The sequence below is a fragment of the Homo sapiens genome, chromosome 2, assembly GCF_000001405.40.
Source record: "Homo sapiens chromosome 2, GRCh38.p14 Primary Assembly".
Classification (NCBI taxonomy): domain Eukaryota; kingdom Metazoa; phylum Chordata; class Mammalia; order Primates; family Hominidae; genus Homo; species Homo sapiens.
Window position 1 is genome coordinate 7,038,262 of NC_000002.12, and position 12,352 is coordinate 7,050,613.

Here is a 12,352-nt window from a genome sequence, read left to right on the forward strand (position 1 = left end):
GTAACAACCTGCTTGTCTCCATTATCTCAGCCACCTGCCATTGGAAACCCTCCTTTCCCCTAGCAAATGGTGTCTGTCACTCACATGGCGGGGGTGTGTGGGGCTGCACCCCTGGAACCTGATGGCAGTTTCTGTAGAATGTCTTGTTATCAGTTGATTAGATCTTGGTCTTTTTCTGCCAGACAGGGTGTTCCTCGAGGGCCAAGATGTATGCACCTCTGTATTTGCAGTGTCAAGTGCAGTGTCTGGGTCAGGGTGGCTGCTGAGAGGAAACTTGTTAGTTAATAGGATATATAGATGTATGGATGTTTGGGTGTTTAGATGGAAAAGGGTGGAGAGAGAGAAGGAAGGGAAAGGAAGAGGTGGAAAAGAAGAATGAGGGAAAAATGAAGGGAAGAATGTATAGTCGGTGGATGGATATATAGTGGGCAGATGAGTGGGTGGGTGGGTAGATGGTGGGTATATGAATGGAAGGGTATAGACTGGTGAATTGATGGGCAGATGGATGATGGTTAGATGGATAGATGGGTGGATGGGTGGATGGATGGGTAGATGGGTGGATAGGTGGATGAATAAAGAGATGGGTGGGTGAGTGGGTGAATGGGTGGATGGATGCATGGATGATGGATGGATGGATAGATGGATGAGAGTGGATGGATAGATGGATGATGGTTAGATGGATAGATGCGTGGGTGATGGCTAGGTATTGATGGGTGGGTGGATGGTTGGATGGATGGGTAAATGGATGGGTGGATGAGTAGATAGATGGATGGGTAGGTGGATGGATGGAGAGAGAGATGTATGATGGTTAATGGATGAATGGGTAGATGATGGTTAGATGGGTAGATGGATGGATGGATAGATGGATGGGTAGGTGGATGGATGGATAGAGAGATGGATGATGGTTAATGGATGAATGGGTAGATGATGACTAGATGGGTAGATGGATGGATGGATAGATGGATGGGTAGGTGGATGGATGGAGAGATGGATGATGGTTAATGGATGAATGGGTAGATGATGGTTAGATGGGTAGATGGATGGATGGATAGATGGATGGGTAGGTGGATGGATGGATAGAGAGATGTATGATGGTTAATGGATGAATGGGTAGATGATGGTTAGATGGGTAGATGGATGGATGGATAGATGGATGGGTAGGTGGATGGATGGATAGAGAGATATATGATGGTTAATGGATGAATGAGTAGATGATGACTAGATGGGTAGATGGATGGATGGATAGATGGATGGTTGGGTGGATGGATGGATGGATGGATGGGTAGCTGGTTGTGTGGTTTACACTTTAGCTCTGGAACCTACAGACCAGCCCTCCTTACCTCTACCCCTTTGTTTCTTTCTTCCAGGTTGTGGGCATTTTTGCAGGATTTGGGCTGCTGCTCTTGGTGGCCTCACCTTTCCTACTCCTGGCCACTCCCTTTGTACTTTGCTGCAAGTGCAAGTGCAGTAAAGGTGACGACGACCCGTTACCCACCTAGAGGAAGCGCGATGCTGGAACACATCCCTGCCTCCGGGAAGTGTGGCTCTCCCCCAACCCTCCCCACCGTCCCCCCTTCACTAAACATCTTTCTTGCCTTATGTGCCCCATTGAGCTTCACAGTGTCAGGCTGGACGCCGTGATTTCAGGGACCTATGTCACAATGTTCGCTGAGGCCCCAGGTGTGGTGGGGAGGGGAGGCAGGTGTGGGTAGCGCACATCCCCACAGATCAATCTCTGCAGATGACAGGGAGGTGCTGTGAGAAGTGCACCAGGCAGCTTTCTCTCTGTGGTAGACTAGGCATGTCTGGGGATGGCCTAAGAGACTTTCTGCTCCTTGGCTTCTAGATGGCACCATGTTGTCAGAGAAGTCTTTTAAGGACTGCCACTCTCTTCAGACAGAATCTGATTATTCCAGCTTGAGAGAAGCACTCTGTTTATGACAACTGTTTTTATTACTAATGGCATTTAGTAAAATCCTTTTTAGAAGGTATTTTTTTTCCAACTGAGTAGTGAAAATCAACAAGGTGCATATAAACCATCCTATGCCTTTCTTGAAATGTGCATTTTAAGAAGTTATAGTTAAACGACTTTTCAGGAGATTTAGAAAGCCTTATGCACTCTTTGTGTTTTTCTTGAAACTTGCTGTAGTAACTTTTTGAACGCTGTAAGCTGTGTACTGTTATAAGTGTGCTTCCTATATTGTTGCATTTCCTTGATAATATTGACGTGTTTAAAGGAACATCTCATCTCCATTAGATTTGCCTTTTGTTGTTTTCTCTCTTTGGTGATTCAGCTCAGCTCATGGGCCTCATCCCTTCTCTCCCAGGTAGCAGAAAACGCTTTTTATTGTATTCAATCCCACTGCTTTGCTCGGCAATGGTTCTCCTCCGAATTGCTGCCGTCTGGCCTCTGGCCTCAGTCTTCAGATAGACAGTAAGAAGAAAGCAGCCTCATTGATCCGCAGATGTAGGGGCCTCTTGGCAGAGGCTGGAGGACTCTGGGGGCTAGGGAAGAGCCTGCCAGATTTTCACATTTTTAAAATGTTCTAGTCATTTTGAGAAATCATATATCTTACACAGTTCCAAGTCCTGTTGCTAACCGTTTTGCTCTTGTTGGGGAAAAGAACCTCCCATTTCACTTCGTTTTAACGTGGGGATTTTACCACTTGATCTTTTACAGGGCTGTCTGTGACCATTTCCATGGCAGCAGGATGCAGGGATTAATAAGGACACATACACATTATTCCACCAATTGACTTTGAAAAGTGGAGAAAGTGTATTCTTTAAAGAGAATTTACTTCTAAAAGCCACAGGTGCTTTTACAAAGCAAACTGCATTGAATTTAAAACTTCTAAAAATAACAGGCAAATATTGTAGCTATATTACAGTGGGATTTTAAAAATCTTGTTAAACATTCTATAAAGAAGTAAAACAAAATCCTTTTATCTCAGTTATTTGCCCATCACAAGCACATTTTTAAAATGTTGCTTTGTGTGTGTTTGACTTCTGCATTTGAGTATCAGTCTCAGGTCCTAGTTTACTTTCCCTGGTTGGAAATTTATTTCTTATTTCCTAACATTGAATTCGTTAGAAAAAACAGCGTCACCTCACTCTTCACCTGTCATGTTGATTTTCCTTATGAACCCGAAGCCATTTAGAAAATCCCTGTGTGTCAAAATTACATTCAAAAAGCTCTCCTTGTAATTGCAAGTTTAGTAACTCAGTAAGAACATGCCTGCGACTCCCTTTCTGGATGGAACCTGGGCTGTGGCTCTCTGTCGTTTGTGGTGCTGTGATGGTGTCTACTGTTAGAATAGCTTTTCTGGAGGTGGGTGGCAACTCCACGCGGGAGTCATTGGCTGGGCTTGAGCCCTCAGCCTGTGATATGTGGATGCAGCTGTCCAGCCACTGCCCTTTAACATGCCCAGCACACATGGGAGGCCTGTGGCCCTGTGTCCAGTGGCCCACAGGACACGCCTCCACCATATGCTCATCCTTCCTGCCTGAAATTGCTGCTGCCCATCGCATGAGCCCACACAGTAGCACCCCCGTCCTTAGGATGAGAGTCAGAGCCTTTGGAAAGGCTGCATCCCCAGGGCTAGAGCTCAGATGACCTTATTTCTAGAGGGACAGGCTGTTCTGTTGGAAGAGTCTCTGGCCCAGTCATGCACATCTGTAGCCCCAGCCATCCTTGTGCCTTCACCTCTGATGTGTTTCACAAGCACGTAGTTCAACCCAGATAGGGACCACAGAGATTCTGGGGCCAGCCAGGGGCAGTCAAATTGGCACCTACTGGCTCTGACTTTTTGTATGAAGCATGCCTCAGTTTCCTCATTTTGATCTAGATATAAAATTAAAATTGTCCATTTCCTATATAAATACCAGCAAGATCACTCTGAGATACATAAACTCGCATTTCCTTCTGTTTTAGTAAGGAGTGCCAGACTTATCTTTGATGGGAATACAGTATGAACCCTGCTTGATGTAAAATGGAAATAGCACACAGGCAGATGGCCCTGGGTTTGGACTTTGATCTTGCCATCATTCCCCAGTAAAACCTGGGGAGTTCTGCGTTGAGTGGACGGACTTATTCCTGTGAAGCGGCATAATTTGTCTCCATTGAAAAATGGCATTCACTCTTACAGATGGTGTTCACTGCAAGCCCCAGAAGCATATGGCATGTGTTCACTAAGAGGCCTTTAATCCTGGGGAGTAAGGGGCGAAGGCCCTTAGACAACCATGGCTGCTGTACTGCCGCCCAGGGTGGGTGGCCAGTGAGGACTGGCCTTAGCCCAGTGGACCTGTGGCTTCTCTGAGGCCCTTGAGTAACTGACCACATTTGGAGGTTTTGCTGGAAATGCCTGACCTCTCAGTCTGGCTCTGCTGTGTAGTCCATAGCCCAGCCAGATGAGCTTGCAGCCTCATAGGAGGTCAGCACCTTGCAAAGATGCAGTCACCATAGATGTCCACGTAGCAGAGACTGACTTAGGATCTGAGATAAAGCATCGGATTGCAGGAATAACTGTCCAAATTAGTTCTTCCTCCTCAACTCATAGGAGTAGCTGTGGACAGAGGAACCAACATCTGCCACCTCTGGCATTTTCTTTCTTTTTTTTTCTTTTTGAGACGGAGTTTCGCTTTTGTCCCCCAAGCTGGAGTACAATGACAGGATCTCGGCTCACTGCAAGCTCTGCCTCCCGGGTTCAAGCGATTCTCCTGCCTCAGCCTCCCAAGTAGCTGGGATTACAGGCACCCACCACCTCACCCAGCTAATTTTTGTATTTTCAGTAGAGACGGGGTTTCACCATGTTGGCCAGGCTACTCTCAAACTCCTGACCTCAGGTGATCTGCCCACCTCGGCTTCCCAAAGTGCTGGAATTACAGGCCTGAGCCACCCCACCCGGCCTATTTTCTTAAAGGGGAACAAATGATCTTGACAACATATTATTCCATAAAACCAGTTTAGGGCACAGGCCAGTTCCTGATTAGAACACAGGACCTGTGGGAGGGACTATCAGAGATGCAAAAATTACTTCAAGATGAGTTTATTGTTTTCATTTGTATTGCAAAAGTTAGAAGTCATTTTACAAATTAAAAAAACATTTTTTTCTTGGTAGTCTTTAAAAATTAGGGGATTGAAAGGATCCAGGATGGGCTTTGTGTGTGTGTCTCAGATTCTCATTTATTAGTGAGCACACCTGTGTATATATATAAATCACAAGGAGATCATCAAGGGAAAACATTTTGCATGTGTAAAGCTTCATGAAGTTCTCTTTAAAAAATACCAAAGCTTGTTTATTTCTGATAATTAACCTAAGCCCTTATGAAAATAAACAAAATGAAGGGATTATGACAGGTATTACCAAAAACACCAAAAGGAACAAAGGGGCCTGCGTTAAAACCTAATTGCTAATGCTTCACAACTAGGAGAGCATGCCGTCTTGATGTTTAAAAAACCCAGGGTCTCCACCCTTCCTTTGATTTGTGCAATTCTGTCTTCCACAGTTCCGGAGCCTTCAGTGAGGGGTAGCTACATGCCCCATGCCTGCCCTTTCTTTCCTTCTTTGCTCACTTTACTATGGGTGTATTTTAATCTTGTATAAAAATATGCATGAATGAGTCATGCACATGTATACGTTATGTATTTGACAAGTGGTGGTGAAACAAAATCAAAACAGATTTGATTTGTGTTTTTGAAATGTCAGTACATTTTGTGCCACTAACACTGTGATGTATAAAAGAGCTGTTTGAATGCCTTTTAATGTTGTGTTTTGTACTCTGGAATCATATGGAAAAAGTTTGATTTGTAATTTCAATACATATTTTAAATGTATTGTGTCTTACGTAGTTTGTCCCCCCCTTTAGCAGGGATTCCTTTTTAAAGCTATTTTGGCTGGAATACAGGTGACTTTTGTAAACCCCGCGTGGCTCCGTCTTTTGTAGATGCTTATCTGACTACTGGCCTGAAGATGGAAAATATTCTATCTTCAGTCTTCAATATTTAATCTATTGAAGATTGAAAATATTCAATGTGGGAACTGGGGGTGGAGGGAGAAAGGGTGAGGCAGGGGAGGGATCTTATATCACTGGGAAAACAGCTCTTGTATCCTGAGATTTTCTGTTTTAGGAATGTTCTCAACTCCTAGATGCCAAAATTACTTGGTTTGTTGGGTGTATCAACCCGTCCAGCCATTCCTGGCTCCCTCTTGTGGTGCCCAACCGGTACTGCAGCATCAGGAAGCATCTCATCCCCACTCAGGGCGCTCTGCTTCCATCCGCAAAGACAAGTTCCTTACAGACCTGTCACATTTTATGAGTTGCAGCATGAAAATCAGGAGGCATCCTTTATCTGCTGGGGGTGGGGAGAAAGTGGAATAAATATGGATCCTTCTCATTTCGTAGGAGAGATAATAATGAGCTGAAGATGTGGTGGTTCACCTTGATTTTCATTCACCTCACTCCAGCTTGGAGGAGAATCTATACCTCATGCGTTCATATGATGCTCAAGTCTGGAATAGGCAACTGGTTCCTTGTCCTGTGTTTAAGTTTTAAATCCATTCTTTATATCTACAGGTGCACATTAAGGGAGTGGATTTTGTTAACTGGTGATTCATAGTGGGCACTGAAGACTCAATATATCTGCCCTCAAGGAGCTCTTAGTCTCAAGGGGTTGACAGATAAGTCAGTCAATTATCATAAGAAGGTGGAATAAGTTCAATGGTAGACGCACGCTCAGCAGGCTTTGCGGGCACAGCACAGCCCTTCGGCCAGGCCGGAAGGTCAGGGAAGGCTGTCCAGAGGACGCCATGTATGAGCTCGCTCTTGTAGACAAGTAGGAACTAGCCAAGCAAAACTGAGAAGTGTGTTCAAAGGAAGGGCCCAGTTCAACAAGCGCACAGAGTTTGGTCCAACTGGCGTGTCGGGGTTGGAGAGTTACTCAAATGTCTGACCTGGTGGGGGCACAGTGTGCCGAACTCAGGAACTGGACCTTCATGATAAAGGCTGTGTGGGAGGAGTGAGTTAGGGTCCTAGGGCTGCTGTCACAAAGGACCACACACCAGGGGCTACAACAACAGAGCTTTACTGTCTTCCAGGTCTGGAGGTTGGAAACTGAAGGTTCAGGTATCTGCAGGGCTGGAATCTTCTGAGAGCGGTAAGGAGGATGCCCGTGTTGCTCTGCAACTTCCTGGTACTGCTGGCAGTCCTGGGTGTTCCTTGGCTGGTAGATGCACCCCCAGTCTCTGCCTGCAGGTTCCCACGGCGTTCTCCCTGTGTGCACGCCTGTGGACACAGCTCCTTCATCTAAGGGCAAAGTCATATTGGATTAGAGCCTACCCTGATGACCTCATCTTCACTCGATCATCTGCAAAGACCCTATTTACAAATAAGGTCAAGTTCACAGGTTCTGGGGGTTAGGCTTCAACACTTTTTGTGGGAAACACAACTCACCTCCATAGGAGGGAGCACGGACTCTGAGTGGGCTGTCTGGCCCCAGGGAGGTCAACCAGAGAAGGTGGACGGGTACAGCAGGTGGCGGGGCTCCGTTGCCGGTGGTGCTGCCTCAGGTGCAGTCCAGAAGCAGTTCTTCCCTACGCTGGGTTGCACATCAATTCTTGAAGCGGGCCTGGAATGTAGGAATTGCCCCCCAGAAAACACTGCCAAAAAACAATGATGGTTAAGCAAAATAAATCCATATTTCTGTGTCTACCTAGGTACATATATTTGTTTCTAAAAATTGAAAAAGAAATTTGCCAGCAAAGAGTCTTATCAACTCTTAGAGGAACCCAAATTACAGGGCATAGAAGGTGGGAATGGCACAGACTTTGATAGCATGTGCTTATCTAGAAGGTATTCTAAACTTGACTTGTTTGCAGGAGGTACATGAGAGATTATAACTGCTGATGTGGCTCGACCACAAGACAGTGTCCATTACTCAGCTCAGCTCAGCTCATCTCTGTCTATACCAGTGAGCAACTCAGCCATTTAAAAACAGCAATTGCTGCCCACGACCTGGTGTTGGCTACTCGCTCTTCTCTAGCTAAAGTCACCCAGGATGTGCATTTTCGGATGAAGCCAACATCGAATGGGGCCCAGAGCAGCAGGGTGGAGAGCTGCAGTGGCTGCTATAGCCAGGGAAGGCTGGAGCCACATCGCAGGAGGGTGACTTCCCGTGCATGTGACAGCCTGGGAGCACCTGTTTCCTGTTTGAACATTGGGATAAAAAGTCTTGCACAGGATTTTTCTGAGGATAAATGAGGAAATGACAAGTAAAACATAGAGTACATTTTGGTGATAAAATATTAAGTTGCTCATGCAGTTCCACTGTGAATGTGGATGAGGCTCCCAACAAGGGTACCCACTCAGCACTCCTGCTTCAAGCACAGAAGGACCCTCTTCCCTCCTGTTTTCCTTGTAGGACCTGAGAAACGAACAGCTCACATCATGGCTCATGCTACCCAGGGGTGCAAGGAAGTGGTTGTGCGTACAGCCTGTGGTTAATGCAAAGAAAAATGGAGTCAATATTTTCATATTGGAAAATCTGAATTTGCAGTATCAAAAGTCATTCACTTGTTCTCCTAGGCAACTATCTGGGTCTTTTTAAAATATATTTTTATTTATTCTTATTTTTTCTCACTGACTTAACAGAATTCATTCAGAACGTGAGTACATGTGATGTGTTTTTTACTGCACAAGAAAGATCCAACAAGGGGTAGTCTCTTCTCACTTCTCAGAATTTATCAGCTTATCACAACTTTTATGAAAAGCCCAAAATGCAAAAGGGAATAACGTTTCAAAAGCTTCTGACAGTTGGACTCCATGTTCCTTTTATCCAGGGGTTTAAGAAATTAACATTGTAAATAGGTTTTCATATTTGCCTGCTGTTATTGGACACATAGTGGTGACTTACTGAATGCCTGTCAGATAAAGGAATTAAACTCCTGTTGCTGGGGGTGTGTGTGTGCAAGAGCCTGTATGAAGTACATGTGTGAGTGTGCATGTGTGTCTATGTGTGTGACTGTGTGTATGAATGTGTGTATTTGTAGTGTGGGAAGTGTATTAGTCCATTTTCATGCTGCTGATTAAGACATCTGAGACTGGGAAGAAAAAGAGGCTTAATTGGACTTACAGTTCCACATGGCGGGGGAGGCCTCAGAGTCATGGTGGCTTCTTAAATGGCAGTGGCAAGAGAAAAATGAGGAAGAAGCAAAAGCAGAAAGCCCTGATAAACCCATCACATCTCGTGAGACTTCTTCACTATCACGAGAATAGCGCAGGAAAGACCAGCACCAGTGATTCAAGTACCTTCCTCGGGGTCCCTCTCACAACATGTGGGAATTCTGAGATATACAATTCAAGTTGAGATTTTGGTGGGGACACAGCCAAACCAGTCACTTGGGATGGTTCAGCTACAAAAAAGCCTTACGCTTGAACTGGAGGTGTAGACAGTCCAGAAGCAAAAGCCTCAACTGTAGTTGGAAGAAATCCCTATTGTGAGCTGAGAACCTCTTCTGAGCCAGGCATTTGCTCACTGCTTTCCATGGGTTGTGTTTCATGCTCACAAAGCTGCGAGTCTTATCTTCATATCACTGGGGCTTGGAGAGGCCCATTTGCCACAAGTGACACCAAGGATAAGTGGCTGGTGAAGCTGGGAACCCAAGTCTGCCCTGCGGGGACCCAGTGTTCCTCCCACCACACATGGCTTCCCTGGGCCTCTTCCTGATTTACCCTGACTGGCACACAGAGACTTGTCTCAGCCATGTGGGGTGGTTTCCTTTCTGTTCCTGGGATAGTTTAAATCCTGCATCTGAAGATCGCATCCCAGGAGAAGAAACCCAGTCCTGTCTGTTTTCAAGCCAGCAAGATGAATGAGAAAAATGAGCTCAGGAAATCCTGAGGGGGAAATAGCTGCTCTCAGGCACACCCGTACGATCTCAGATGATTTCAGAGATTACAGGCAAAACATGGCTCATCTCCACCTTCAGATAATCGCATACACAAGGACCTTCCAGGGGATAAGCATCAGGTGGGAGATGGTGCCCATCGCAGGACAAACACTGCGCTTCCTGAATCAACATGTTGTTCACAGGAGAAACTAATTATCAAAACCACCCTGGGACGTAAACTATTATTATCACAATTCTTCACTTTAGGCAAGAAAATTAAGGCTTAGAATCATTAAGAGTCTTGCCCTATAACAAACAACGAGCAGACCATGGGGCCCGGCCCAACCCCACAGCCAGTAGGAACACACCTAGGCAGGGTTCAGTAAGACACCCAAAGCCACGTGAAGGTCAAGGATGGGCCAACAGTGCTCAGAGGAGCCTCCCTGCAGAAAGGGTGTTAGGGAGACTGCAGTAGGGGCCACGTTGCTTGGAATTAGGGGGTGGCCACAGCATGGGGACCTTTCTAAGCTATGTTTCCTTGGCAGCAAAGTACTTCATAGGAAACGATCACCTTGGAAATTAAGATTTCCACAATCTGAAGCAGAATTAATCCAAGAGCCAAAATGACATTGAAAACTGCAGAGGTAAGTGCTGGTGAAGTCTACTCAACCTTCTGGAAGAGATTCACTTTCACCTAAAGCCAAGTATGAATGCACAGACAGCAGCTAAAACACAGCTGTCTTGGGTGCCACAGGCTCTTCATTGGATACCTACTTTGCAGAAACCCGTGGCAACTGAGAATGATAGAGATGCAAAGCCTCCTAGTCCCTCCTCCCCACCGGGGGCTCAGGATGTGGTGGGATTTACAGTGTAGACAATTACTCTCCTATGAGAGGGTTTGTGGGGCCCTATAGGATCACAGAGGAGGAATGAATGGCTGCACCTGGAGGGAAGGCAGGGCCTGGGGAGGCTCCCTGTGCAAAGGTATCCCTCTGAGTTGAGGGTTGAAGGCTGAATAGTTTTCAGCGGGGGCTGTTGGGGGATGGGCTGGCCTTCCAGGCAGAGGAGGGTAAGGGATGAGAAACAGAGATATGAAGGTACCGCATTTTCAGAAACACTGTATAGTGGCTGAGCACAGTCAGTGCTCAACAAATGTTGCTTGAATGAGCAAATGATGCTTCCAAAATAACTAAGTCCAGGAAGGAGGTGAAATTGGCTGTATATAAATTATTGATCAATGGTAAGGCAATGAATGAGAAATGGCTGATTAGGTAACATCATTCACACTCAGGAGAGAAAACCTCTGGAGATTTTGTTTGCTGATTTCACCTGGCATACAAAATCCTGAAAAACGAGTCTCTTGGAATCCACAAAGGATGAAGATGACAAAAATTCAACTGTGCTCAGCGATTTGAGTTTTCAACGACACGAAAATGAGGTTGCAGTCAGAGTGGATCTTTTTCTCATTTCTGCACAACTCTTAATACATTGTTGGTGCACAATGAATGTTAAATAATAATTTAATGTTTTTATTAATGACAAAGGAGGAATCAACATATTAATGAAACTTGCAGATGATACTAAGCTGGGAGTTATTACAAACACCAATTAGGAGATGAAGACGATGAAGAGGGACCGAGGAAAGAAAGTTCCAACAAAGTGAGCTTCTGTCTTGCAAATACAAGCAAATGCACCTGCAAAAAATGTGTACTGTGGGAAGCTCAGAAGGCGAGGCTAACACAGGCTTAGGAGGGAAAGCAGTCCAAATGCAACGGCTTTTGGAAACGCCAGGGGCAGGATGTGTGATGAAAGTCATAAGAAAAAGCACAATCTCCTCGGCTTTTTCAGTCGAAAATGCATTCGATACCAAGTTTCATTTGGTTGCACGTTGGAAGCTGGTCATGACTTTGAAGGAAGAACTGTTTGCCTTTCCCAGGAGATGAATTCACGAGTGAGTAGGACCTGGTTCCCTGTCCTCAGTTCGGGTCCTGATATGGTTTGGCTGTGTCCCCACCCAAATCTCACTTTGAATTATAACAATCCCCACACGTCCAGGGTGGCGCCAGGTGGAGATAATTGAACCATGGTGGTGGTTTCCCCATATTGTTCTCGTGGTAGTGAATAAGTCTCAGGAGATCTTATGGTTTTATAAATGGGAGTTCCCCTACGCAAGCTCTCTTGCCTGCCGCCAAGTAAGACATGACTTTGCTCCTCCTTCACCTTCTGCCATGATTGTGGGTCCTCCCCAGCCATGTGGAACTGTGAGTCAGTTAAACCTTTTTTCCTTATAAATGCCTCAGCCTTGGGTATGTCTTTATTAGCAGAGTGAGAACAGACTAATGCAGGTCCTCTTCAGTCTCTCGTGGACACACCTGGGGCCTCCTAAAGTATCTTCTGCTCCCAGCCTCCTCCCTTCTCACCATTCTGTTCCTGGGGCATTCTCTGTTTCCATCTTGTGATGCTTCTGT

General features: G+C 45.6%; 1 protein-coding gene across 7 annotated transcripts in view, besides 1 other annotated feature; it reads left to right on the top strand.

Moving 5' to 3' along the window:
• Nucleotides 1–12,352, top strand: part of RNF144A (ring finger protein 144A) — a 158,956-nt gene that overhangs the window by 120,850 nt on the left and 25,754 nt on the right. For 5 of the 7 annotated variants that reach the window (NM_014746.6, NM_001349186.2, NM_001349184.2 and 2 more), the window contains one exon: nucleotides 1,368–5,918. The exons of the other annotated variants lie outside the window; for them this stretch is intronic. In NM_014746.6, the coding sequence (NP_055561.2) occupies nucleotides 1,368–1,499 (132 nt within the window). In that variant the 3' untranslated portion in view covers nucleotides 1,500–5,918. Of the gene's footprint in view, nucleotides 1–1,367; nucleotides 5,919–12,352 lie in introns of those variants that run through there. 7 annotated transcript variants of the gene reach the window in all.
• Nucleotides 5,817–6,111: a silencer, noted in NCBI's record as "tiled region #3683; HepG2 Repressive DNase matched - State 13:Ctcf". NCBI's record gives its function as "represses a minimal TATA promoter and a strong SV40 promoter by Sharpr-MPRA in HepG2 cells {active_cell/tissue: HepG2}" and the evidence as "EXISTENCE:reporter gene assay evidence [ECO:0000049][PMID:27701403]".